Source organism: Homo sapiens, chromosome 7, assembly GCF_000001405.40.
Source record: "Homo sapiens chromosome 7, GRCh38.p14 Primary Assembly".
Classification (NCBI taxonomy): domain Eukaryota; kingdom Metazoa; phylum Chordata; class Mammalia; order Primates; family Hominidae; genus Homo; species Homo sapiens.
The window spans coordinates 75,090,033-75,117,933 of record NC_000007.14 but is presented as its reverse complement, the minus strand read 5'-3'; the positions used below and the strand labels follow the sequence as shown (position 1 = coordinate 75,117,933).

General features: G+C 46.9%; 1 protein-coding gene across 3 annotated transcripts in view, besides 5 other annotated features; it reads right to left on the bottom strand.

Annotated features, from left to right (window-relative positions):
- The window catches only part of GTF2IRD2B (GTF2I repeat domain containing 2B), a 57,262-nt gene extending 31,884 nt beyond the window's left edge, over positions 1 to 25,378 (bottom strand). The window contains exons 1-3 of one of the 3 annotated variants that reach the window (NM_001003795.3): positions 25,169 to 25,344; positions 8,871 to 8,974; positions 5,399 to 5,537 (exon numbers count right to left, since the gene is read on the bottom strand). In NM_001003795.3, the coding sequence (NP_001003795.1) occupies positions 5,399 to 5,537; positions 8,871 to 8,969 (238 nt within the window). In that variant the 5' untranslated portion in view covers positions 8,970 to 8,974; positions 25,169 to 25,344. Of the gene's footprint in view, positions 1 to 5,234; positions 5,538 to 8,870; positions 8,975 to 22,904; positions 23,903 to 25,168 lie in introns of those variants that run through there. The other 2 variants (NM_001368302.1, NM_001368301.1) reach the window with 2 other exon arrangements.
- Positions 5,247 to 27,901: part of a non allelic homologous recombination region, noted in NCBI's record as "sub-region SSN11'-SSN13', recombines with sub-region SSN11-SSN13 within the WBS medial block B recombination region", that runs on past the window's edge. NCBI's record gives the evidence for it as "EXISTENCE:restriction fragment detection evidence [ECO:0001124][PMID:12796854]".
- Positions 11,943 to 13,464: a meiotic recombination region, noted in NCBI's record as "meiotic double-strand break mapped by DNA meiotic recombinase 1 chromatin immunoprecipitation followed by single-stranded DNA enrichment and sequencing in the germ cells of some male individuals with PRDM9 AA and PRDM9 AC genotypes". NCBI's record gives the evidence for it as "EXISTENCE:chromatin immunoprecipitation-seq evidence [ECO:0000229][PMID:25395542]".
- Positions 24,487 to 25,250: an enhancer, noted in NCBI's record as "NANOG-H3K27ac-H3K4me1 hESC enhancer chr7:74267014-74267744 (GRCh37/hg19 assembly coordinates)". NCBI's record gives its function as "activates a minimal SCP1, AML or CMV promoter by ChIP-STARR-seq in naive H9 embryonic stem cells {active_cell/tissue: H9 hESC(naive)}" and the evidence as "EXISTENCE:reporter gene assay evidence [ECO:0000049][PMID:30033119]".
- Positions 24,804 to 24,983: a silencer, noted in NCBI's record as "silent region_18292". NCBI's record gives its function as "represses an Ori minimal core promoter by ATAC-STARR-seq in GM12878 lymphoblastoid cells {active_cell/tissue: GM12878}" and the evidence as "EXISTENCE:reporter gene assay evidence [ECO:0000049][PMID:35858748]".
- Positions 25,024 to 25,233: a silencer, noted in NCBI's record as "silent region_18291". NCBI's record gives its function as "represses an Ori minimal core promoter by ATAC-STARR-seq in GM12878 lymphoblastoid cells {active_cell/tissue: GM12878}" and the evidence as "EXISTENCE:reporter gene assay evidence [ECO:0000049][PMID:35858748]".

The window sequence follows — 27,901 nt, the reverse complement described above, 5'->3', positions numbered from 1 at the left end:
TTTTTGTATTTTTAGTACAGATGGGGTTTCGCCATGTTGGCCAGGCTGGTTTCAAACTCCTGGCCTCAGGTGATCCGCCAGCCTCAGCCTACCAGAGTGCTGGAATTACAGGTGTGAGCCACCACACCCAGCTGATATATATATTTTTAAAATAATAATAAAAAAGAAAAAAGGCCAATGTAAAAATGTATATATATATGTATTTTGTAGAGACAGGGTCTTGCCATGTTGCCCAGGCAGGTCTCAAACGCCTGGGCTCCAGCGATCCTCCCACCTCAGCCTCCCAAAGTGCTGGGATTACATATGTGAGCCACTGCACCTGGCCCCTTCTGGAATTTTCTGGGACTTCGATAAGACTTGCTGGGAAGCCAGCTGGAGTATTAGTGGAAGTGACTGGGAAGCTGTGTGTGGTGGGGGTGTCACTAAAACTCACTGGAATGAGTGCCACACTGGGTATCCCAAATGCTGTTGGTCATCACAGGCAGGTGAGAGCTCACTGCAACCTCCGCCTCCCGGGTTCAAGCGATTCTCCTGCCTCTCCCTCCCGAGTAGCTGGGATTACAGGCTCCTGCCACCACTAAAATTTTTGTATTTTTAGTAGAGACGGGGTTTTCCCATGTTGACCAGGCTGGTCTCGAACTCCCAACCTCAAGTGATCTGCCCGCCTTGGCCTCCCAAAATGCTGGGATTACAGGCGTGCCTGGCCCCAAGTGGAATTTATTCCTCAAATACAAGGATGGTTCAACATATTTAAATCAATCAATGTAACATACCACATTGACAGAATAAAGGACAAAAGCCACATGATCATCTCAATTGCCACAGAAAAAGCATTTGACAAGATTGAACATCCTTTCATGATAAAAGCACTCTACCAACTAGAAGTGGTAGGAAATGACCAATGTAATAAAGGCCATTTATAAAAAGTCCATGGCTAATATCACTCAACAATGAAAGACTGATAGCTAAGATCAGAAATAGCAAAGATGGGCCAGGTGCAGTGGCTCACCCCTGTAATCCCAGCACTTTGGGAGGCGGAGGCAGGCAGATCACTTGAGGTCAGGAGTTTGAGACTATGCTGGCCAATGTGGTGAAACCCCACCTCTACTAAAAAAATACAAAAATTAGCCAGGTGTGGTGGCACGCACCTGTAATCCCAGTTACTCAGGAGGCTGAGGCACGAGAATCACTTGAACCTGGGATCCGGAGGTTGCAGTGAGCAGAGATCAAGCCAGTGCACTCCAGCCTGGGCAACAGAGCAAGACTCCATCTCAAAGAAAAAAAAAAAAAAAAGAAATGGCAAAGATGCCCTCTCTCCCCACTTCTGTTCAACACAGTTTTGGAAGTCCTAGCCGAGCAATTAAACTAGGTAAGAAAAAAAAAGGCCTCCAAATTTGAAAGAAAGAAGTAAAATTATCTCTGTTCATAGATGATACATGATTTTGTATGTAGAAAATCCTAAAAATTCCACACAAAAATCTATTCGAACTCCAACATATTCAGCAAAGTTGCAGGATACTACATCAACACACCAAATCAACTGCATTTCTATACAGTAACAATGAACAATCTGCAAAGGAAATAAAACAATTCCATTTACAATAGCATCAAAAAGAATAAAATCCTTAGGGATAGACCTAATCAAGGAAGGGAAAAATCTGTATACTAAAACAATAAAACACTGCTGAAAAAAATTAAAGAAGACAGGCTGGGCGTGGTGGCTCACGCCTATAATCCTATAATCCCAGCACTTTGGGAGGCCAAGGCAGGCAGATCACTTGAGGTTAGGTGTTCAAGATCAGCCTGGGCAACATGGCGAAGCCCTGTCTCTACTAAAAATACAAAAATTAGCTGGGTGTGGTGGTGCATGCCTGTAGTCCCAGCTACTTGGGAAGCTGAGGCAGTAGAATCGCTTGAACCTGGGAGGCAGAGGTTGCAGTGATCCGAGATCAAGCCACTGCACTCCAGCCTGGGCAACAGAGCAAGACTCTGTCTCTCAAAAAAAAAAAAAAAAAGAAAGAAAAGAAATTAAAGAAGACACAAACAAATGGAAAGACATCTCATGTTCATGGATTGGCAGGCTTAATATTGCTAAGATATCTGTACTACCAAAAGCCATCTACAGAATTATTGCAATCCCCATCAAAATCTCAAGGGCATTTCTCGTACAAATTAAGAAATCCACTCTAAAATTCACATGGGGCTGGGCGCGGTGGCTCACCCTGTAATCCCAGAACTTTTGGGAGGCTGAGGAGGGTGGATCACGAGGTCAGGAATTCAAGACCATCCTGGCCAACATGGTGAAACCCTATCTCAAAATACAAAAAAAAAAAAAAAAAAAAATTAGCTGGGCATGGTGGCATGTGCCTGTAATCCCAGCTACTTGGGATGCTGAGGCAGGAGAATGGCTTGAACCGAGGAGGCAGAGGTTGTGGTCAGCCAAGATCTCTCCACTGCACTCCAGCCTGGGCGATAGAGCGAGATTCTGTCTCAAAAAAAAAAAAATAAAAAAAAATTCATATGGAACACCAAGGGACTCTGAATAACAGAAATAATCTTGAAGAAGAGCAAATTTGGAGGTCTCATACTTCCTGATTTCAAAACATATTATAAAGTAATCAAAACAGCATGATACTGGCATAAAGACAAATAGATCTACGGAATAGAGTAGGGAGTCCAGAAATAAACACTTGACCAAATATTTAGCATGCATGCCAGGTGCAGATCTCAGCTACTTGGGAGGCCAAGACAGGAGGATCACTTGAGCCCAGGAATTTATGACCAGACTGGGTAATATAGTAAAACCCTGTCTCAAAAAAAAAAAAAAAAAAAAAAAAGCTGGGCACGATGACTCACGCCTGTAATCCCAGCACTTTGGGAGCCAGAGGCAGGCGGATCACCTGAGGTCAGGAGTCTAAGACCAGGCTGGACAGCATGGGGAAACCCTGTCTCTACTAAAAAATACAAAAATTAGCCGGCTGTGGTAGCAGATGCCTGTAATCTCAGCTATTTGGGAGGCTGAGGCAGGAGAATGGCTTGAACTCAGAAGGTGGAGGTTTCAGTGAGCCAAGATCATGCCATTGCACTCCAGCCTGTCCGAAAGGGCAAAACTCTGTCTCAAAAAACAAAAACAAAAACGAAAAACCTGCGGCCATAAAAAAGAAAGAAATCATATCCTTTGCAGCAATGTGGAGGCAGCTGGAGGCCATTATCCTATGTAAATTAATGCAGGGACAGAAAACTGAATACCACATGTTCTCACTTGTAAGTGGGAGCCAAACCTTGGATACACATGGACATAAAGATGGGGATGGGAACAATAGACACTGGTGGCTCCTAGAGGAAAGAGGGAAGTGGGGGCAAGGGTTGCAAAATGAACTACGGGGTACTATGCTCACTACTGTACCCCAAACCACAGCATCACACGATATACCCATGTAACAAATCTACACGTGTGCCCCCCGAATCTAAACTAAAAGTTGACATTATTAAAAGAAAAGAAAATATAAAAAGATTATCACACCAATTTCAGAACAGTTTCATTACAAGATGAATACTAGAGAAAATATTTGCGACAACAAAATTAACATGCAACTATGAATCTTAAAAAAATCTACAAGTAAATTCCAGTGATTAGAAATTCAACTGGCATCTGACATTAATGAATTGAGAATACCCTTCTTGTGTATCAGTTACATACTGTATTATTTAAAGATGGCTTCATTTTTTAATCTGTCTTCTTGATAGTGGAGACCTTAATTTGGGATCTCGGAAGTAAATTTGAATCAATCTATCACTCAATTCTCCCCTCTCTCATCTCTCTCTCTCTCTCTCTCTCTATCCATTCATCTAATCTATCTATATACATATATATATATAATTCCTGTCTCCCTTATCTATCCATCCATCTAAGCTATCTACATACATATATATATATAATTCCTCTCTCTTATCTATCATCTATCCATTTATCTAATCTGTCTATATACATATGTATATAATTCCTCTCTCTTATCTATCTACCTATCTAATCTACTTATACACACACAGACACACACACACACACACACTTTATATACCCTCTGCCAATCCATAGAGACCCCTCTCTCTGTACATACACACACACACACACACACACACACACACACACACCCTTATACCCTCTGACGAACCTTTCTGATTTTTATCCTTTCATGGTTACAAGGAATATTAAATTGCTATATCAATACTTGGTAAATAACCTACAGTGTTAGAGATTACCACCATAAAAGGTGTAGTTTTTTGTCTAGTTTTGTTTTGTCTTGAGACCGGGTCTCGCTCTATGGTCCAGACTGGAGTGCAGTGGTGTGATCACGGCTCACTGCAGCCTTGACCTCCCGGGCTCAAGAGATCCTCTCACCTGAGCCTCCTGAGTAGCTAAGACAACAGGCGAGTGCCACCACGCCCATCTAATTTTTTTTTGTATTTTTTAGTAGAGATGGAGTCTTGCCATGTTGCCCAGCTTGGCCTCAAACTCCTGAGCTCAAGTGATCCATCTGCCTTGGCCTCCCAAAATTTTGGGATTACAGGAGTGAGCCACCGAGCCCGGCAGAAGGTGTAGTTTTTAACACTGTAGAGTAGTTCCTTGACATATGGCCACATATACTCACTCACACTGGATGCTTGCAGCACACCGTGGCATATTGAAGGCTCTGAAATTGCCATACTAAGAAAAGGAAAAAACGGCCAGGTGCAGTTTTCCAGTACTTTGGGAGGCAGAGGTGGGCAGATCACTTGTGGTCAGGAGTTTGAGACCAGCCTGGCCAACAGGGTGAAACCCTTTCTCTACCAAAAATATAAAAATTAGCTGGGCATGGTGGAAGGTGCCTGTAATCCCAGCTACTCGGGAGGCTGAGGCAGGAGAATCGCTTAAACCTGGGAGGCGGAGGTTGCGGTGAGCCAAGATCGCACCACTGCACTCCAGCCTGGGTGACACAGTGAGACTCTGTCTCAAAAAAATAAAGAAAAAAAGAAAAAAGGAGTAATTGTATAATGGCTATTAATAGGCAGTAATACACAACAAGCTCTGAAAAAGTTTTTCCCCCTTCCTTTGGAAAGGACTAAAGAGTATTTTGTAAAATGGTGTTTATTTTAGGAATTAAAGATAATTTGTTCTATGTCCTTGAAATTTATTCTAATAAACCAGAGTACCGCTGAGGACCTAGTATAAAATAAAATGACCATTTGTCTTGGACTCTGCAGTGTTAGGCAGTATTTATTTGGTAAGCTGAATCCAAGAAGATGTGTTAGGATCGTTTCTAGGAGAATGCTTATGATAGCTTAGAAGAAAATACTGTGGAAGTCTTGCCTGCGATCCTTTTGAGATTGGGAATACAAAGGATAAAATTAAAACACCTACAGTATTTTGCAAAATCTTTCTGAAAATCCGTCCTGGCATTAACAAAAGCGCATCCTCTCTCGGTTCCGACGACAAACACGTCTGTTTCGTACACTGCGATGCAGGCCACTTCTGCCTTGGACTTGGCCAGTTCTTTACACTGAAACAGAAACAAAAAGCGATGTATTATCTACAAGGGCAGATCCAAGTTTGTGGGGCCTGGGAGGCCTGATTTAAGAATACAAAATTAGGTAGCAAAAGGAATATTTATTTATTTATTTATTTTTGAGACGGAGTCTCGCTCTGTCACCCAGGCTGGAGTGCAGTGGCGCAATCTCGGCTCACTGCAAGCTCCGCCTCCCGGGTTCATGTCATTCTCCGGCCTCAGCCTCCTGAGTAGCTGGGACTACAGGCGCCTGCAACCACGCCTGGCTAATTTGTGTGTGTGTGTGTGTGTGTGTGTGTGTGTGTATTTTTAGTAGAGACGGGGTTTCACCGTGTTAGCCAGGATGGTCTCGATCTCCTGACCTTGTGATCCGCCCACCTTGGCCTCCCAAAGTGCTGGGATTACAGGTGTGAGCCACTGCGCCCGGCCAGGAATATTTATTTAGAATGAGAAAAATCACTGAGAAAGGAAATCAAAAGAAATTTATCAAGCAAACACCATAAACATCATAAAACCCAAAGAACATATTTTTATTGACTGCCTGACATGGATCTTCCAATATGCCTTTTCCCTACATTTTTGGCTGCAGACTTTCTGGTTACCTCTTCATATATACCTTTTTTTTTGAGATGGAGTCTTGCTCTGTCACCCAGACTGGAGGGCAGTGGTGCGATTTCGCCTCATTACAACCTCCGCCTCAGCCTCCCATGTTAGCTGGGATTAAAGGTGCCTGCCACCACACCCAGCTAATATATTTGTATTTTTAGTAAAGACGGGGTTTCACCAAGTTGACCAGGCTGGTTTCAACTCCTGACCTCAGGTGATCCACCCTCCTCGGCCTCCCAAAGTGCTGGGATTACAGGCGTTGAGTCCCCATGCCCAGCCGAATTTGTTTATTGTTTATCTCCCGAGTAGGATATAAGATCTCTGTAAGGCGGACCTTCTCAGGTCTTGTGACTCCAGTTCCTAGAAGAGGGCCTTGGCTTAGGAAGTGCTTCATGGATATTTGTCAAATGAAAGGAATGTGATCAGTTCTTAAACAATGTCCCTGGGGAAGATATTTCGAGTTTTCTTCAAACAGATCCTAATGCTTTATTATTATTATTATTTGAGAGAGGGTCTTGTTCTGTTACCCAGGCTGAAGTACAGTGGTGCAATCCTAGCTCACTGCAGCCTTGATCTCCTAGGCTGGAGCAATCCTCTTGCCTCAGCTTCTCTAGTAGCTGGGACTATAGGCATGTGTCACCACGCCTGGCTAATTTTTAAAATTTTTTATTTTTCCTTTTTTTTTTTTTTTGAGACGGAGCCTTGCCCTGTTGCCCAGGCTGGAGTGCAATGGCGTGACCTCGACTCAGTGCAACCTCTGCCTCCCAGGTTCAAGCGATTCTCCTGCTTCAGCCTCCCAAGTAGCTGGGATTACAGGCATGTGTCACCACTCCTGGCTAATTTTTTGTATCTTTAATAGAGACGAGGTTTCACCATGTTAGCCAGGCTGGTCTCGAACTCCTGACCTTGTGATCTGCCTGCCTCGGCCTCCCAAACTCCCAAAGTGCTGGGATTACAGGTGTGAGCCACCGCGCCCGGCCTAAAAATTGTTTTTAGTAGACAGAAGGTCTTGCTATGTTACCCAGGCTGGTCTCAAAACTCCTGAGCTCAAGTGATCCTCTGGCCTTGGCCTCATGAAGTGGTGGGATTACGGGCGTGAGCCACCCTGCCTACCCCTAATGCTTTCTTCTAAAATTAATTCCAACTTATTTTTTTTTTTTTTTTAAGAGTCAGGGTCTTGTGCTGTGCAGGCTGGAGTGCAGTGTCATGATAGCTCATGATAGCTTACTGCAGACTTGAACTCCTGGGCTCAAGCAATCTTTCCATCTCAGCACCCCAACTAGCTGGAACTATAGCACCATCCCCTCCAGCTAATTTTTTAAAAATAGTCTTGTAGAGACAAGGTCTCACTATGCTGCCCAGGCTGGTCTCCAACTCCTGGCCTCAAGCCATCCTCCCACCTCGACTCCCAAACCGCTGGGATTACAGTCTGACTATGCTAATTTTGATCACTTGAATGAGGTGGTGTCTGTCAGGTTTCTGCACTGTAAAGTTACTGATTTTCCATTTTTAATCAATAAATATCTTCTGATCAGGTACTTTGGAGTTATGTAAATTTCTCATCAAATTTTCACCCACCAGGTAAAGTTTACCTTTTGGATGTAAATAGATATATATAAATAGGCTGTTTACTTTTTTTTTCTTGAGACAGAGTCTCGCTCTGTTGCACAGGCTGGAGTGCAATGGCACAATCTCAGCTCACTACAACCTCCGCCTCCCGGGTTCAAGTGATTCTCGTGTCTCAGCCTCCTGAGTAGCTGGGAATACAGATGCCCGCCACCACGTCCAGCTAATGTTTCTATTTTTAGTAGAAATGGGGTTTCACCATGTTGGCCAGGCTGGTCTCCAACTCCTGACCTCAAGTCATCCACACACCTTGGCCTCCCAAAGTGCTGGGATTACAGGCGTGAGCCACTGCACCTGGCCTATTTACTTTTGAAATTAGATTTTTAAAATATTCTCAAACATGGTAACAAAGGTTACCATTCATTACATTTCAGATCTGGGAAGCTTAAGTTTATATAATTGCATCCATAATGTAATATACAAATACATAAATAATCTGACAAGCCCATTACCCTCTATAAAGGATACCCTTATATAGATGTCAGGCAGCAGGCAAACATCAAAAGTGATACTGAAGCAGCCAGACACGGTGGCTCACGCCTGTAATCCCACCACTTTGGGAGGCCGAGGTGGGCAGATCACCTGAGAGTAAGGAGTTCGAGACCAGCCTGGCCAACGTGGTGAAACCCCGTCTCTATTAAAAATACAAAAAATAAGCCGGGCGTAGTGGCCGGCGCCTGTAATCCCAGCTACTTGGGAGGCTGAGGCAGGAGAATTGCTTGAACCCGGGAGGCGGAGGTTGCAGTGAGCCGACATCATGCCACTGCACTCCAGCCTGGGCAGCAGAGCAAGACTCTGTCTCAAAAAAAAAACAAAAATTAGCTGGATGTGGTGGCTGGTGCCTATAATCCCAGCTACCCAGGAGGCTGAGGCAGGAGAATTGCTTGAACGCAGGAGAATTGCTTGAACCCAGGAGGCAGAGGTTGCCGTGAGCTGAGATTGTGCCACTGCACTCCAGCCTGGGCGACAGAGTGAGACTCTGTCTTAAAAAAAAGAAAAGAAAAAAAACAAAAGGCATACTGAAGTGTTTCATGATTCTGTCATTTCGACAATGATCCATCTATGGAATGTCAGACAAGTGTCCGGCTGTCTCACCATGGATTCGAGGGCAGACACGAGGAATGTCACCACCATCCTGGTCTCTGAGGAGGACTCTTCTTCAACAGGCAGGGTGGACACTGCTACCTGGGCCATGATCCCTGTGCAAGAGAAGCAATAAGAAAGTGGCAAAAATTCAGAGTCTGAAACCCACATTTAGAGATGTGAGGGTGCTCACCAAAGATCTAGTTCAAACTTTCCTCTTGAGATGAAGAAACTGAAATTTAAAGGCATTTAGTGACTTGCCCATGAGCTCCTGAATAGTAATGCTAACTTATTTTATTTTATTTTGTTTTATTTTGAGACAGGATCTTGCTCTGTCACCCAGGCTGGAGTGCAGTGGCGCAATCACAGCTTACTGTAACCTCTGCCCCCTGGATTCAATCAGTCCTCCCATCTCAGCCTCCCCAGCAGCTGGGACTACAAGTGAGCGCCATCACGCCTGGCTGATTTTTGTATTTTTTGTAAAGACGGGGTTTCGCCACGTTACCTAGGCTGGTCTCAAACTCCTGAGCTCAAGCAATCTGCCTTCCTTGGCCTCCCAGAGTGCTGGGATTATAGGTGTGAGCCACCACACCCAACCCTGCTAACTCTCTTTCTTTCTTTCTTTTTTTTTTGAGACTGAGTTTCACTCTTGTTACCCAGGCTGGTGCAATGGCACGATCTCAGCTCACTGCAACCACCACCTCCTGGGTTCAAGTGATTCTCCTGCCTCAGTCTCCCGAGTAGCTGGGATTACAGGTGTCTGCCACCACACCCAGCAAATTTTTGTATTTTTAGTGGAGATGAGGTTTTGCCATGTTGGCCAGGCTGGTCTCGAACTCCTGACCTGAGGCGATCCGTCCGCCTTGGCCTCCCAAAGTGCTGGGATTACAGGCGTAAGCCACCGTGCCCAGTCAACTTTCTTTTTTAAAAACTATTTATTTATTTAGACACAGGGTCTTGCTCTGTCACTCAGGCTGGAGTGCAGTGGGGCAATCTCAACTCACTGTAGGGTCCGAAGCAGCTGGGACTACAAGCACACTCCAGCAAACCTGGATTTATTTATTTATTTATTTATTTTGTAGAAACAGGGTTTTGCCATGTTGCCCATACTGGTCTTGAACTCCTGGTCTCACGTGATCCACCTGCCTCGGCTTCCCAAAGTGCTGGGATTATAGGCATGAGCCACCATGCCCAGCCTTTTTTTCTGGAACAGAGTCTTGCTCTGTCGCCCAGGCTGGAGTGCAATGGTGCGATCTTGGCTCACTGCAACCTCTGCCTCCCAGGTTCAAGCGATTCTCCTGCCTCAGCCTCCCAAGTAGCTGGGATTATAGGCTCCCACCACCACGCCTGGTTACTTTTTGTATTTTTAGTAGAGATGGGGTTTCACCATGTTGGACCAGGCCAGTCTCGAATTGCTGACCTCAAGTGATCCACTTGCCTAGGCCTCCCAAAATGCTGTGATTACAGGCGTGAGCCACTGCACCCAGTCTTTTTTTTTTTTAAGACAGAGTCTCATTCTGTCGCCCAGGCTGGAGTGCAGTGGCACGATCTCCGCTCACGGCAAGCTCCACCTCCCAGGTTCACGCCATTCTCCTGCCTCAGCCTCCCGAGTAGCTGGGACTACAGGCGCCTGCCACCACGCCTGGCTAATTTTTTGTATTTTTAATAGAGACGGGGTTTCACCATGTTAGCCAGGATGGTCTCGATCTCCTGACCTCGTGATCCGCCCACCTCAGCCTCCCAAAGTGCTGGGATTACAGGCGTGAGCCACCGCGCCCGGCCCGCACCCAGCCTTTTACATTTATTTTTATGCTAACTTTATAGAATATATTTTCCACTAAACCTACACATGGCCTCCCCGTAAAACAAACTCAGGTATTATGTGAGAGGAGCATGCTGTTTCCCAGATGAGGAGAGGAGGATTTGTACCTTATTGATCCAATGATGTTTAGTCAGATTTCAGCATGGTTGTGACAGCTACCACACTATTTCACTTACACATAGAAAGGATATAATGGGTTTGTGTGCTAAAGATAGGAAGAGAAAATTCCTTCTTTCCCACTTCCCTTCGGACTTCTGTCTCCTAAAAGCTCACTCTAAATTTTGCCAAGATTTTTTTTTTTTTTTAGCTTTTTGTTTGTTTTGTTTTTAGAGACAGGATCTCACTCTGTCACCCAGTCTGGAGTGCAGTGGCACAATCATGGCTCACTGCATCCTCCAACTCTCAGGCTCAAGTGATCTTCCTGCCTCACCCTCCCGTGTAGCCCCAGCTATGTTTTGCATATGGGACTGCAGGCATGTATTACCAGGCTCAGCTAATTTTTAAACATTTTTTTGTAAAGATGGGGTCTTGCTCTATCGCCAAGGCTGATCTCAAATTCCTGGGCTTAAGCCATCCTCCTGTGTCGGCCTCCTTAAGTGCCGGGATGACAGGCATGAGCTACTGTGCCTGGCTGATACATTTTGCCAAGCTCTAAATGAAGTTAGCTTTAAGAAATTTCTTTGAAAAAAATTCTCTGAAATCTTAAAAACAACTTTTTGAAATGGAACATGCAAATTAAGTACCTGTCAGCTACCATCATATCCCTCCAATATTTGGCTTAATTCTATTTGTAAGCAAAAGATACACAGATCAACATGAGTGTGCATGCGGAAGGAAGACAGAAGATTTTTCTATTGAGTTTCACTCTTGTCACCCAGGCTGGAGTGAAGTGGTGTGATCTCTGCTCACTGCAACCTCTGCCTCCCGGGTTCAAGCGATTCTCCTGCCTCAGCCTCCCAAGTAGCTGGGATTACAGGCAGGCGCCACCATGCTCGGCTAATTTTTGTATTTTTAGTAGAGAAGGGGTTTCATCATATTGGTCAGGCTGGTCTCAAACTCCTGACCTCAGGTGATCTGCCCGCCTCAGCCTCCCAAAGTGCTGGGATTACAGGCGTGAGCCACTGAGCCCGACCAAAACTGAAGATGTAAGGGAGCTAAGTGTGGAGGTCACATGCGGTTATTTGGAAATATTCACAAAGGTCTCTTTCAGATCATGTGGTTTGATTTCTTGCCCACTTGAATGTGGTGTGGCCACATGACTTTCGTGGACTGAGGACGTCAGGGAAGTAACTTCATTTTGCCACACTCTCTTCCTCCTCGGTGGTCACCGGGAACTTTCCATATGGAACCACCACAGCAGCCTGGGTTCCAGATCGCAGACAACGTGAAACAGACTCACAGCCAACGCATAACAGACTTTTAGTGCAACCAAGAAATAAGTCTTTGCTCCTTTAATCCTCCAAAGTCTGGTGTCGTTTGCAACCCAGCACACCCTAGCCAGTCTGGACAGTTACAGAAGGTTGAAAAGAAATTCTAAAAATGCAACTATCTACCAAAATTCTTTGAAGACACTCGAGGATCCCTTAGAGTTATCATCTTTCTGAGAACATTAGCTATGCTGAACCAGTAGGATGCAAATTGTTATCGTTAAAAATTTTTATAAATCTCTATATCTCTATTATTATTAAACAGAATGGTAGGGGGAAGGGAGGGATAGGGAAAGATTTGGTTGTCTGTTTGTTTGTTTTTTGAGGTGGAATATCACTCTGTCACCCAGGCTAGAGTGCAGTGGCACGATCTCAGCTCATTGCAAACTCTGCCTCCTGGGTTCGAGCGATTCTCCTGCCTCAACCCCCCGAGTAGTTGGGATTGCAGGCGTGAGCCACCACACCCAGCTAATTTTTGTATTTTTGGTGGAGACGGGGTTACACCATGTTGGCCAGGCTGGTCTCGAACCCTTGACCTCAAGTGATCCGCCCGCCTCGGCCTCCTAAAGTGCTGGGATTACAGGTGAGAGCCACCATGCCTGGTCTGTTGTTTTTTTTTTGTTTTTTGTTTTTTGTTTTGAGACAGCATCTTGCTCTGTCACCCAGGTTGGAGTGTTACCACAGTTCAGTGTAGCCTCGACCTTCTGGGCTCAGTTGATCCTCCCATTTCAGCCCCCGGGTGGCTGGGACTACAGGTGCATGCCACCACACCTGGCTAACTTTTGCATTTTAGTAGAGACGGGGTTTCACTATGTTGCCCAGACTGGTCTCCAACTCCTGGGCTCAAGCGATCTTCCTGCTTCTGCCTCCCACACCAGTGCTGGGATTACAGGTGTGAGCCACCGCGCCCAGCCGGTATTGTTTTTCATAGCAAAGACTCTGTTCTGGCAACAGAGCTGGAGTCAGAAAAAGCAGCCTCAATTGCCTCTCCGCTTTTTGGCTAAGATGAAGAGTAGCAAAAGCGGCATCCAGCCATGAGACGCGTAGGTCCTAGAAAGTCTTTTCTTGAGCATTCTAGATTCCACTCACCAAGCAAATGCACATCAAAGAATATGTAACGGCAAAGACGTGTTAAGTTCCCATTCACCAGAACACTCCCTTAGATCATGCTCCATCCTGATTCTTTTGGAAGCTCAGAGAATTTCCATTCGTAATCTTTATTTTGTCTTTAGCATCCCCGGGAGAGAAAAGGGCGTAGAAGTATTCTCATTTTACAACTTAGCAAGTTGTCCAAGCAAAGCTAGAACATACACCAGGACAATTTTTGCCTAGTGCTATTTCCACTTCTTCACACCTCCAATTGCCATTGATCTATGATGTCATCACACTCAATGTGTATTAAGAAATGGGGCCGGCGTGGTGGCTCACGCCTATAATCCCAACACTTTTGGAGGCTGAGGCGAGCGGATCACTTGAGGTCAGGAGTTCGAGACCAGCCTGGCCAACATGGTGAGACCCCCCCCTTCTCTACTAAAAATTAGCTGGGCATGGTGGCAGACACCTGTAATCCCAGCTACTCCGGAGGCTGAGGCAGGAGAATTGCTTGAACCCAGGAGGCGGAGGTTGCAGTGAGCCAAGATTGTGCCACTGCCCTCCAGGTGGGGCAACAGAGTAAGATTCCATCTAAAAACAAAAAAAGGGAGATGCCACAGCAACAGCCCAAGGGGCACCCCTGGTGATGAAGGTCCTATGTCTTTTTTTTTTTTTTTTTTTGAGACGGAGTCTCGCTCTGTCGCCCAGACTGGAGTGCATGATCTCTGCGCACTGCACCCAGTGGCATGATCTCTGCGCACTGCAAGCTCTGCCTCCCAGGTTCACGCCATTCTCCTGCCTCAGCCTCCCGAGTAGCTGGGACTATACGCGTGTGCCACCATGCCCAGCTAATTTTTTGTATTTTTAGTAGAGACGGGGTTTCACCATGTTAGCCAGGATGGTCTCGATCTCCTGACCTCGTGATCTGCCCACCTCGGCCTCCCAAAGTGCTGGGATTACAGGCGTGAGCCACCGCACCCGGCCGGTCCTATGTCTTTATCATAACTTTCAGGGCATGCAGCAAGCCTTGCAGGATGGAAGGCACCCTGGGGACGGCGACCCACGGGCCTTCTCTGTGCTTCCTGCTCTCTGGAAATGGGTGCATCCGGGTCACATCAGAAGTTCACTGTTCTTTGCTTGTCCCGAGGTTCCTTCCTGGGACAGTCCTTAGTTGAGACTATTCATGGAGCCTTCCCTGCACCCTTCACTTGGGGACGGCTCCCTCTCTTCTCTCCTCTTCCCAGAAAGAAACTGCCATCAGGAGGTGGCATTAATTAACAATGAACACCAGAGGAGGCATCGGGCCAGGCAGGTGACGCCAGCTTAGGAAGCACCTGATGCACTGGTCCCCACGGGACCACATGCCAGGAGAACCACGGGCTGTACTCAGGCATCTTGTCTATTGAAGAAGATACTAAATCAACTGCTTATTTATTTATTTTTATATGTATTTTTTGAGACAAGGTCTTACTCTGTCACCCAGGCTGGAGTGCAGTGGTGCGATCTCGGCTCACTGCAACCTCTACCTCCCAGGTTCAAGCAATTCTCCTGCCTCAGCCTCCCGAGTAGCCGGGATTATAGGCACCCGCCACCGGGCCCAGCTAAGTTTTCTCTTTTTTAGTAGAGACGGGGTTTCACCATGTTGGCCAGGCCGGTCTTGAACTCCTAACCTCAGTTGATCCACACGCCTCAGCCTCCCAGAGTGCTGGGACTACAGGCGTGAGCCACCATGCCCAGCCTTATTTTATATATATGTATGTATTGTTTTTTTTTTTTGACATGGAGTCTCACTCTGTTGCCCAGGCTGGAGTGAAATGGCATGATCTTGGCTCACTGCAACCCCTGCCTCTGGGGTTCAAGCAGTTCTTCTGCCTCAGCCTCCCAAGTAGCTGGGATTACAGGCAGCTCCCACCATGGCCGGCTAATTTTTTGTGTTTTTAGTAGAGATGGGGTTTCATCATGTTGGCCAGGCTGGTCTCGAACTCCCGACCTCAAGTGATCTACCTGCCTTGGCCTCCCGAAGCCCTGTGATTACAGCCATGAGCCACTGAGCCTGGTCAGCTTTTTTATTTCTAAGAGTCAGAGTCTCACAATGTCACCCAGGCTGGAGTGCAGTGGCTCGATCATGGCTCCCTGCAGCCTCCAACTCCTGGACTCAAGCCATCCTTCCCCCTCATCCACACTGGGATTACAGCTGCGAGCCACTACACCTGGCTCAATCAACTACTTCCTATGAATGTTTCACTTCTGACCTTTTATGAATCCCCTCAACTTAAAATCCAAAGGAGTCACATATTATGTAATTCCATTCATATTAAATTTCTAGAATAGGGAAATCTATAGGAACTGAGAATAGATTAGTGGTTATTTCAGGTTGATAGCTAAAGGGTAAAAGGTTTCAGAGTGATGAAAATGTTCAAAAATTGACTGTGATGGCCGGGCACAGTGGCTCACGCCTGTAATCCCAGCACTTTGGGAGGCCGAGGCGGACGGATCACAAGGTCAAGAGATCGAGACCATCCTGGCCAACTTGGTGAAACTTTGTCTCTACTAAAAATACAAAAATTAGCCGGGCATGGTGGCGCACGCCTGTAGTCCCAGCTACTCGGGAGGCTGAGGCAGGAGAATCTCTTGAACCCGGGAGGCGGAGGTTGCAGTGAGCCGAGATCCCACCACTGCACTCCAGCCTGGGCAACAGAGTGAGACTCCGTCTCACAAAAAAACAAAACAAAACAAAAATTGACTGTGATGATAGTTGTACAACTCTGTGAATATATTTCAAGAAACCACTGAACAGTACACTTTATTTTTTTTAATTTTCTTTTTTTTTTTTTTTTTTTTGAGATGGGGTCTTGCTCTGTCTCCCAGGCTGGAGTGCAGTGGCACAATCACAGTTCACTGCAACCTCTGCCTTCTGGGCTCAAGCGATTCTCCTGCCTCAGCCTCCTGAGTAGCTAGGATTACAGGCGTGCACCACCATGCCCAGCTAATTTTTTGTATTTGTAGTAGAGATGGGGTTTTGCCATGTTGCCCAGGCTGGTCTTGAACTCCTGACCTCAGGTGATCCACCCTCCTTGGCCTCCCAAAGTGCTGGGATTATAGGTGTGAGGCACTATGCCCACCCCTATTTTTTAAATTTTTATTTATTTTTTCTGACAGGGTCTCATTCTGTCACCCAGGCTGAAGTGCAGTGCCATGATCATAGTTGGAGTGCAGTGGTGCAATCACTGTAGCCTTGACCTCCTGGGCTCAAGCAATGCTCCTGCCTCAGCCTCCAGAGTAGCTAAGATGACAGGCATGTGCCACGACACTCAGCTAATTTTCTATTTTTGTAGAGAGGTCTCACTATGTTGCCCACGCTGGTCTCAAACTCCTGGGCTCAAACAATCCTTCCACCTCAGCCTCCCAGAGTGTTGGGATTACAGGCATGAGCCTCCGTGTACAGCCTGAACTGTACACTTCAAATGGGTGAACTGTATAAGTATATGAATTGTATCTCAATAAAACAGTTTTTATCATATTTATTTATTTGTTTTTGAGACGGAGTCTCACTCTGTGGCCCAGGCTGGAATGCAGTGGCACGATCTCAGCTCACTGCAACCTCCGCCTCCCGGGTTCAAGCAATTCTCCTGCCTCAGCCTCCCAAGTAGCTGAGATTACAGGCTTGGGTCAACATGCCTGGCTAATTTTTGTATTTTTAGTAGACACAGGGTTTCATCACGTTGGCCAGGCCAGTCTCAAACTCCTGACCTCAAGTGATCTGGCCTCCTTGGCCTCCCAAAGTGGTGGGTGACAGGCGTGAGCCACCGCGCCCAGCTAAAGAGATTTTTAAAAATCAAATAAAATCAAAGAGAGGTTGGATGGAAAAAAAGAAAATTAACATGTACTGAACTACACTCTATGCGCCGATGCTTTTACGATCACCCAATTTAAAACCTACACACCCTCCAAGGGAAATATTATTTTCCGTGAAAGGACACAGAGAGCATGGGAGCCTGCTGGTGGGTGTGCAGATGGTTTAAGGAATGGCAGAGGCTGCAACCGCAGTGGAGGAGCAGAAAGGCAAACAGAAGAAAGGCCCCATGAGGGGAAAATAAGATGGGTGACCCACATGTCCCAGGTGGGACAGTCCTAGTCCACACCCACCCTGCCAGTGAAATTATTAACAATGCTCCCTTCATTCTCAAGTGCCTGGAAGATGAATTATAAGATATTTATGTATGGGTTGTTGTGTGTGAAATGCACACACAAAATTACTAGAATCATGGCACCCCGCGTCCTTAAAACAACCTCCAAACTCAGAGAGGTCTCTCCCTGACGCCGACCAAAAGGCAATCAAAACACCGATCTCTTAACTCAATGCTTAAGTCTGCATACTTTATTTAGCATGAAGAAAAATGGTCAAAACAATCATGCAATCCATTTCCTGTGAAATAAAAAAAAAAGTTTTAAATAAAAATTCTTCTTTTTTTTTTTTTGAGACAGAGTTTTGCTCTTGCTGCCCAGGCTGGAGTGCAGTGGCTTGATCTTGGCTCACTGCAACCTCTGCCTCCCGGGTTCAAGCGATTCTGCTGCCTCAGCCTCCTGAGTAGCTGGGACTACAGGCCCGTGCCACCATGCCCAGCTAATTCTTTGTATTTTTAGTAGAGACAGGGTTTCACCGTGTTAGCCAGGATGGTCTTAATATCCTGACCTTGTGATCCACCCGCCTTGGTCACCCAAAGTGCTGGGATTACAGGCGTGAGCCACCACTCCTGGCATGCCCAGCGAATTTTTGTACTTTTAGTAGAGACGAGGTTTCCCCATATTGGTCAGGCTGGTCTTGAACCCCTGACCTCAGGTGATCCACCTGCCTCAGCCTCCCAAAGTGCTGGGATTACAGGCATGATCTACCACGCCTGGCCGAAAATTCTTTTACCTGATGTAAACTAGACTAGATGAGGATTATGTTTTATTTATTTATTTATTTATTTATTTATTTATTTATTTATTTATTTTGAGACGGAGTCTCGCTCTGTTGCCCAGGCTGGAGTGCAATGGCGTGATCTCAGCTCACTACAATCTCCACCTCCCTGGTCAAGCGACTATCCTGCCTCAGCCTCCTGAGTAGTTGGGACTACAGGCGCCCGCCACCACGCCCAACTAATTTTTGTATTTTTAGTAGAGATGGGATTTTGCCATGTTGGCCAGGCTGGTCTCGATCTCTTGACCTCCTGATCCACCCGCCTCAGCCTCCCAAAGTGCTGGGATCACAGGCGTTAGCCACCGTGCCTGGCCGATTTTTTTTTTTTTCTTTTTTGAGACAAGGTCTCACTCTGTCACCCAGGCTGGAGTGCAGTGGTGCACTCTCAGCTCACTGCAACTTCCCCATCCCGGGCTCAAGCAATCCTCGTGCCTCAGCCTCCTGAGTAGCTGGGACCACAGGCACGTGCCATCATGCCCAGCTCATTTTCTGCATTTTTTTTTTTTTTAATAGGAGGTTTCACCATGTTGCCCAGGCTGGTCTCAAACTCCTGACCTCAGGTGATCTGCCACCTTGGCCTCCCAAAGTGTTGGGATTACAGGTGTCAGTCACCTGCCTGGCCCCTGTGAATTCTGACATATATAAAGTTACATAGGTAAAATTAAGGTATAAAACAGTTCTGTCATCCCCAGAATATTATACCACAATAATCCCTAAACAAGCTCTGATGTCAAAAGTCTGCTTTTTTACAAAAAAGAAAATAAAAATAAAAACACAAACAAAAATAGAAATAAAAAAATTGAAAAAACCGAAGAATAAAATAATAGGCAGGATGATACCACGTGGAATTCAAAAAAAGATACTATCAGTTGGCGTCAACTATGCTACCAGTAATCATTTAAAACACAAGTGTTTCATAATAATTATTATCATTTTTTTGAGGCAGGGTCTCACTCCGTCACCCAGGCTGGAATGCAGTGGTGCAATCACAGCTCACTGCAGCCTCTGCCTCCCTGGGCTCGGATGATCTTCCCACCTCAGCCTCCTGAGTAGCTGGAATACCAGGCATGCGCCACCATGTTCAGCTAATTTTTGTATTTTTTGTAGAGAGGGGGTTTCGCCATGTTGCCCAGGCTGGTCTCGAACTCCTGGGCTTAAGTGATCTGCCTGCCTCATCCTCCCAAAGTGCTGGGATTACAGGTGTGAGCCACCGCGCTGGGCTGAGTGTCTCATAATTATTGTGCTTTCTTTGCATTTTGTACATAACAACAAATGGAGGCAGGAATGTTGTCTTTTATATTTTATGATTTGGAACACAGCATGCATTAATAGAAAATTGAAAATAATGAAACGTGACTATAAGCCAACACTGTGTTTCCTGTCCCAAGTACATTTTCCTGAGAAAATTTCACTGCACTCTAATAAAGCTCAAAAATCCTTCACCATAAGAACTTGTACCACAGAATAAAATCTCCCAAAGCCGATATAGTTATTAACCCTTTTTTTACTCACATCTGAAGTGCCAGCACCATTTACTGAGATCACAGATTTTTACATAGTACTTAACTTTTTACTCTTTTATTTTGAGATGGAGTCTTGCTCTGTGGCTCAGGCTGGAGCGCAGTGGTGCAATCTCAGCTCACTGCAAACTCTGCCTCCCGAGTAGTTGAAATTACAGGTGCGTGCCACCACATCTGGCTAATTTTTGTATTTTTAGTAGAGACTGGGTTTCACCATGTTGGCCAGGCTGGTCTCGAACTCCTGACCTAAGGTGATCCGCCCCGCTCAGCCTCCCAAAGTGCTGGGATTACAGGCATGAGCCACCGTGCCTGGCCCTTTTTGCTCTTTTAAAACTGTAGATGTAAACTCCAAAAACTTCCAAATCTCATTTTGTCTTCCCAGCAATGCTGGAGGCGTTTCTGTCCTTCTAGTGTAATATTTTACTAACGAAAAGCAAATACCTAGAACAATCTCCAGCCTACAGGTCAAATCCAGACCGCAGCCTAGTTTTGTAAATTAAGCTTTGTCAGAACACAGTCACATTCACTTGTTGACATCTTGTCTACAGCTGCTTTCCTGCAAAGGAAGGTTTGCATGCATGTGACAAAGACCCCATGTCCCCAAAGCCAAAAATATTTACTATCCTTACAAACAAAGTTTGCCCATCACTGATCTAGAATCTGTATCTATCCCTTACAACCTTTCATCATTTGGAATGTCATCCACTTCCTTTATGAAAACTCTGAAATCTTGAAATAGAGGACTGGTTTATTTTTAAAAACTGTTTCTAGATTTTCCCTTCCAAAGATTAATTTTTCAGGTTTTAAAGGGCTTAGTTTTTTTGTTTTGGTTTGGTTTTGAGACAGAGTCTGCTCTGTCCTCCAGATTGAAGTGCAGTGGTATCATCACAGCTTACCATGCGCCTGGCTAATTTTGACTTTTTTTTTTTTTTTTTTTTTTGTAGAGACAAAGTTTCACTATGTTGCCCAGGCTGATCTTGAACTCCTAGGCTCAAGCGATTCTCCTGCCTCAGTCTCTCAAAATACTGGAATTATAGGAATGAGACACTGTGCCCAGACCTGGGACTTGTTTTCTGTTTTGTTTTGCTTTTTTTCTTTTGAGATAGGGTCTTGCTCTATCACCCAGACTGGAGTGTAGTGGCATGATCATAGCTCCCTGCAGCCTGGGACTCCCAAGCTTAAGTGATCCTCCCACCTTAGCCTCCCAAGTAGCTGGGAGCACAGGCGCACACCACTGTACCCAGCTAATTTTTTGTTGTTGTTTTTTGTTTGTTTTGTAGAGACAGAGTTTTGCCATGTTGCCCAGGCCAGTCTTGAACTCCTAGACTCAAGCAATCCTCCCACCTCAGCCTCCCAAAGTGCTGGGATTATAGGCGTGAGCCACCACACTGAGCCGCAGGGCTTGGTTTTAATTAATAAATTCTACCTTCTTCACAGCTCAGCCTACAAGTACAAACACAAGAGTACATGTTTCACCATTCAACAAAAATGTAATGATCACCTGCGATGTAAAAATGTATACTAGTAGCCAGGCGAGGTGGCTCACACCTGTAATCCCAGCACTCTGGGAGGCTGAGGCAGGTGGATCACCTGAGGTCAGGAGTTCCATATCAGCCTGGCCAACATGGTGAAACCCTGTCTCTACTAAAAATCCAAAAAAAAAGGACAGGCGTGGTGGTGGGTGCCTGTAATCCCAGCTACTCGGGAGGCTGAGGCGGGGAGAATTGCTTGAACCCGGGAGGCGGAGGTTGCAGTGAGCCAAGATCATGCCATTGCACTCCAGCCTGGGCAACAAGAACGAAACTCCATCTCAAAAAAAAAAAAAAAAATTAGCTGGGCATGGTGGCACGCACCTGTAATCCCAACTACTCAGGAGGCTGAGGCAGGAGAATCTCTTGAACTCAGGAGGCGGAGGTTGCAGCAGGACGTGATTGTGCCACTGCACTTCAGCCTAGGTGACAGAGCAAGACTCTGTATCCTTCCCCCCAAAAAAAAACGTATACTGATGGCAAGGAGTGGAGGGGAATCACAAGCAATACAGTAAAAGGAGCCAGACACCCATGAAATGGCCTCAGGGCATGTAGGAACGCAGATGAATCCACTGGGAGGACAAGAGAAATGAAGGGCCAGGATTCTCCCCCTTATCTTCAGCAGACTCATTCCAAGACCCTCAGCGGATGCCTGGAACTGCAGATAGTGCCAAACCCTAAATCTATTATGTTCTTTTTCTTTTTTGAGATGGAGTCTCGCTCTGTCGCCCAGGCTGGAGTGCAGTGACGCGATCTTGGCTCACTGCAACCTCCGCCTCCCAGGTTCAAGTGATTTTCCTGCCTCAGCCTCCCAAGTAGCTGGGGGTTACAGGTGTGCACTACCATGTCTGGCTAATTTTTGTATTTTTAGTAGAGACAGGGTTTCGCCATGTTGGCCAGTCCGGGCAACATAGTGGGACCAGCCTGGCAACATAATGGGACTTCACCTCTACAAAAAAATTAAAAATTAGCCAGGTGTGGGGGTGTATGCCTGTGGTCCCAGCTACTCAGGAGGCTGAGATGGGAGGATTGCTTGAGCCCAGGAGGTCAAGGCTGCAGTGAGCTGTGATCCCACCATTTCAACAGGGCGAGGCCCTGGGTAGGACTCTGTCTCAAGAGAAAAACAAAGAAGGCCTGCCGGGCGTGGTGACTCATGCCTGTAATCACAGCACTTTGGGAGGCTGAGATGGGTGAATCAACTGACGTCAAGATTTCGAGACCAGCCTGGCCAACATGGTGAAACCCCGTCTCTACTAAAAACGTAAAAATTAGCCGGGCGTGGTGGTACACGCCTGTCATCCCAGCTACTCTGCAGGCTGAGGCAGAAGCATGGCTTGAATCCGGGAGATGGAGCTTACAGTGAGCCGAGATCGCAACACTGCACTCCAGCCTGGGCGACAGGGCGAGACTGTCTTAAAAAAAAAATAAAGGCAAAGGTGACAGGTATGGAATTTTCAACTTGCATCAGGTCAGCGGCATTCAATAAGTTTTGGATTTTGGAACGGTTCAAATTTTGGATTTTTGGATTAGAGATGTTCAACCTGTACATACATACCTACGATGAATTTTAATTTATAAATTAGGCACAGTAAGAAATTAACAACAACAATAATAAAATAGAATATCAAGTACTGTAATGTTATGTGAATGTGATCTCTCTCTCTCTCAGTATAACTTGTTGTAACGTACTTACCCTTCTTCTTCTTCTTGTAATGATGTGAGAATCTATGCCTGAATCTGTGTAACCATCCCTTACTCGCAGTAAATGGCTTGGTGTCAGTTTCAGAGCATCCCTTGCAGAAGTCTTGGTATAGGCTCAAAGCTTTCTGGCGCAACATGTTGCTGTCAATGGGAACACGTTTTCTGTTCATCTCTTCCACCCACAAATGCAGTGCCTGTTCCATCTTAACTAAGCACTTATCACGCACTGTGGCCGTCACTTTAGCAGTTGGAGGTGAGACAGCAAAACTAGCACGAATTTCTTTTTCCTTCTTCACAATTTCACGGATGGAAGATTCATTCTTCCCGTAGATCTTAGCAACCTCAGCATAGGATTTTTTGTCTTTCCTGATTAAGTCGAGAACTTTCACCTTTTCACTTAGAGGAAGCACTTTACGGCTTCTCTTTGGCCTATCCAAATTCCCAGCATCACTACTCTTGTGCTTTGGGGCCATTATGACGGAAAATAAGGGTGACTTGAACACATACACTGGGACACTGTGACGGTCGATCTGATAACCGAGCCAGCTACTAAGTGACTATGGGTGTGGAGCGTCCACAGCGTGGGGACGCTGAACAAAGGGGACGATTCACTGCCCAGGCTGCACAGCGCGAGATTTCATCACAGCGTGCAATTTAAAACTTACGAATTGTTTATTTCCGGAATTTTCCATGTAGTATTTTCAGACCACGGTTGACCTCAGGTAACTGAAACAGCGGGTAAGGGGGGACAACTGTACTTCCAGGTTCTGCAGCCTGAGAATGAGAGAAGGGACTGTGCAGGCTGAAGGCGTGGGGGAAGAGCCAGGGCCCTGGGGAGCAGACGTCAGGGACTAAACTGGAAGGCAAGCAGGAAGAACCGTGACCCACTCCAAACCGCCACTGAAGATTGATCCCAACTGCAAGCCGGTGCCAAGCCCCGCGTCCACGGAAGTCACACAGCCTATGACGCCTTCCTCTCCAAATGGAAGCAAAGAGGAGAAGAGGCTGCTGGAGTCTTCAATTGCAGCCGTGAGCAATCTCCAACTGGCCAGTTTCCAAGCTTATATCTAGACATCTGCTTACTTCAAATTACCAGCACGAAACTAAAACATGATTTTTTTTTCCTTAAAACACAAAGCTTGGCCCATCAATTCCAGTCCTTGGTATACACCTATGAGAATTGAAAACAAATGTCCGCACAAAAACGTGTACACCAATGTTCATAGCAGTATTATTCATAACAGCCAAAAGGTGGAAATTACCCAAATAGCCATCAATGGATGGAAAATCAAAATGCTGTGTATTCATATCATGGATTTTTATTCAGCCATAAAGAAGGAAAGAAGCCAGACACACAAAAAACTTCTTGGGATGATTCTATCCACACGAAATGTCCAGAATAGGCAAATCCACGGAGACAAAAGTGATTGCCAGGGGCTGGGGATAGGGACGGGGTGGGGACCGGGGAATGACGGCCTAATGGGGTTGGGGTTTCTTCTCCTCGGGTGCTGAAAGCGTTCTGCAATTAGTGGCAAAGGTTGCACAGCTCTGTGCACTGAATTATTCACTCTTAAAACGTGAATTTTACAATGGATCTCAACGAAGCTGTTATTAAGAAACAAGAAAGCTTGGGCTTGAGGGATGGAGAATACAGCCTTGCGAGCCTTTTTCCCCCTAGAACTCGAAACCAGAATTGCAACGGGAAATTCCCGGGCCTCGGCCTTTTTCCTTGGGAGTCTGGATTGGTTTTCCGCCAACAAACAGATCCCCGGAGGCCGTCGCGAGGACCATACCCACGGACAAAACCCACAACCTGGGCCTCTAGGCAACGCGTGACGTCAGGGGGCGGATCCGGGGCGCAGTTGCCTGGTAACAGCGGCGGCCCCCGCCCCCTTATCTAACCAATCAAGCGCGTCTGCACGCAGCGCGAGCGCCCCACGTACGACGGGCGGAGCGTGGCATCACGCACACCCCCGCTCGGCCAATCAGGAAGGAGAGGGATGTGCGCTCCGTGCGTACGACCATTGCCCCCGCGGCAAGGCTTCCCCGCCCCCACCCTCACACCTCTGGTCCTGCCAGCAGGGATCGGGGTTCGGGGGTGCCTCGCCTCGGGGCGCCGGGGTGTCCCGGGGGGCCACCTCCCGCTGCGGCCGGGCGGCCTCCCTTCCCCAGGCCCTCAGGAGGAGGACGTTCCGAAAGGCAACCCGCCCTTAATGGCGGCGTCGGCGGCGTCGGCGGCGGGGGCGGGGTACGCACCTGAGGGCGCTGGGCCGCGCCGGGCCGGCCGCGGAGTCCGAGGCCTGGGCCACCGGGGAGCAGCCGATGGCCGAGGGCGGCGGCCGGGAGCCCCGCGCGGGGGACGAGCACGCTTCGGGGCGTGTGGGTGGCGGCCGAGGCCCCTGCTCGCCACTCGCCCTCCTTTTTCTCTTTCTTTCTTTCCCCCCCTTTTCCCCCCTTTTTTTGTTTGCTTCCTGGAAGGCAGCCTCGACTCGTGTGTCCGCAGCGCCCCAAGTGGGAGTCGCCGTTTCCGGTGCTGTCGAATCCAATTTAGCCGCGCTGTGCATTTGCTTGGGGGCGTGCAGCCCCGTCCCGCGAGGTCCAGACCCCCTCAGCCATCGCTGATTGTGGGATGGATTGCTGGCGGGGCCTTTCTCACCCCGGACACCGCCCCCAGACGTGCATGCAGTTGCTTGCTGTTATTTAATTTTTTTTTTTGAGACGGAGTTTGGCTCTTGTTGTCGAGGCTGGAGTGCAATGGCGCGATCTTGGCTCACTGCAACCTCAGCCTCCCAGGTTCAAGCGATTCTCCTGCCTCAGCCTCCGGAGTAGCTGGGACTACAGGCGCCCGCCACCATGCCTGGCTAATTTTTTGTATTTTTTTTTTTAGTAGAGATGGGGTTTCACCGTGTTGGCCAGGATGGTCTCGATCTCCTGACCTCGTGATCCGCCCGCCTCGGCCTCCCAAAGTGCTGGGATTACAGGTGTGAGCCACCGCGGCCGGCCAGGTTACATTTTCATATGGTTATGACTCCCAAATATTCATCTCCAGCCCAGACCATTCCCCTAAACTCCACATCTATATAGCCAACTGCCTGCTTTGAAATCTCCACTTGTACAGCGACTTAAGAAAAAAAATTTTTATCTTGGAGAATGAATAGGCATCCCAAGAAGAACATGTCTCATGCTCCCCACACTTCTCCTGCAGTCTTCTCCAGCTCAATGAATGAAACTCCATTCCTCCACTTACTCAAGCCAGAAGCCTTGGAAGCATCTTATTCCTCCCACGCTCCACACCATTCCTTCAGATTCCTCCGGCAGCTCTAACTTTGCCCAGATTCTACCACTTTCTCTCTCTCTTTTTTTTTTTTTTTTTTTTTTTTGCTATGTGTGTTGAGGGGAGATGGACTTGCTCTGTCACCCAGGTTGGAGTGCAGTGGTACAGTCATAGCTCACTGCAGCCTCAACCTCCTGCACTCAAGCAAGCCTCCCACGTCAGCCTCCCGAGTAGGTGGGATCACAGGCGCACATCACCTCACCCGGCAAATTTTAAAAATTATTTGGCCAGGCGCAGTGGCTCACGCTTGTAATCCCAGCACTTTGAGAGGCCAAGGTGGGCAGATCACAAGGTCAGGAGTTCAAGACCAGCTTGGCCAACATGATGAAACCCCATCTCTACTAAAAATACAAAAATTAGCTGGGCGTGGTGGCGGACTCCTGTAATCCCAGCTACTTGGGAGCCTGAGACAGGAGAATCTCTGGAACCTGGGAGGCGAAGGTTGCAGTGAGCCGAGATCACGCCACTGCACTCCAGCCTGGGCGATAGAGCGAGACTCCATCTCAAAAAAAAAAAAAAAAATTATTTGTAGAGGCTGGGTGCGGTGGCTCACGCCTATATTCCTAGAACTTTGGGAGGCCAAGGCGGTCGGATTGCCTGAGCTAAGGAGTTCGAGACCAGCCTGGGCAACACGGTGAAACCCCGTCTCTACTAAAATACAAAAGAAATTAGTGGTGGCACGCGCCTGTATTCCCAGGTACTTGGGAGGCTAAGGCGGGAGAATTGCTTGAACCCAGGAGGCGGAGGTTGCAGTGAGCCGATATCGCACCACTGTACTCCAGCCTGCACGACAGAGCAAGACTCTCTCTCTCCAAAAAAAAAAAAAAAAAAAAAATTATTTGTAGAGACAAGGTCTCCCTGTGTTGCCCAGGCTGGTCTCAAATTGCTGTTCTCAAGGGATCCTCCTGCCTCCTTCCTCAGCCTCCCAAACTGTTGGGATACAGGCACGAGCCGAGCCTGGCCTCTACCAATTTCTAATGGCCCCCACTACTACCAAGCCAACACTGTCTCTTGCTGTAGACTCCTAATTTGTCTCCCTAATTCTGCCCTTAACCCTCTTCCATTCTTAACACAGCAACAAAAAGAATCTTGTAAAGTGTAACTCATTTCACTCTTCTCAAAAATGTCCATTTCAGAGTAAAGGTCCTAATTTACGCTTCTGTCCACGACGAAGTGACAAAGACCAGATATACCCTCCCAGCTGCAACAATAAACAAAAAAATGCATGAAACAATGTTTTTTTCAAGACACTAGACATCAGGTGACAAAAGATAGTGTTCGAGAGATGGTAAACGTGAGGTGAGCCCTGCAATTGCTTAGCTTACAGACTTGAGAGTTTATCAGGTCATCACACAGGGAAGGAGAACTAAGACAAGAGACCAGCTGACTTCCTTGGTTGTAACAGAGCTAAGTCCAGAAAGAACAAGGTAACTGCAGCTTATAAGGAAGGGTACCAGAGAGAGAGTTTTGCACAGAGAGAGAACCCCGGAGATCTGCAGAGGAACCCCTGGAGTATGTAGCAGAGTACATCAGCATACACGTGTGACATAATCACTTGCTTCTAGGGAAAGAACCATCTGAATGCATTGGAATAGTGCTTGACACTCAGACAGGGCCAAGAACAATGCCTGTTCAGAATTCACAGGTCATTGGGT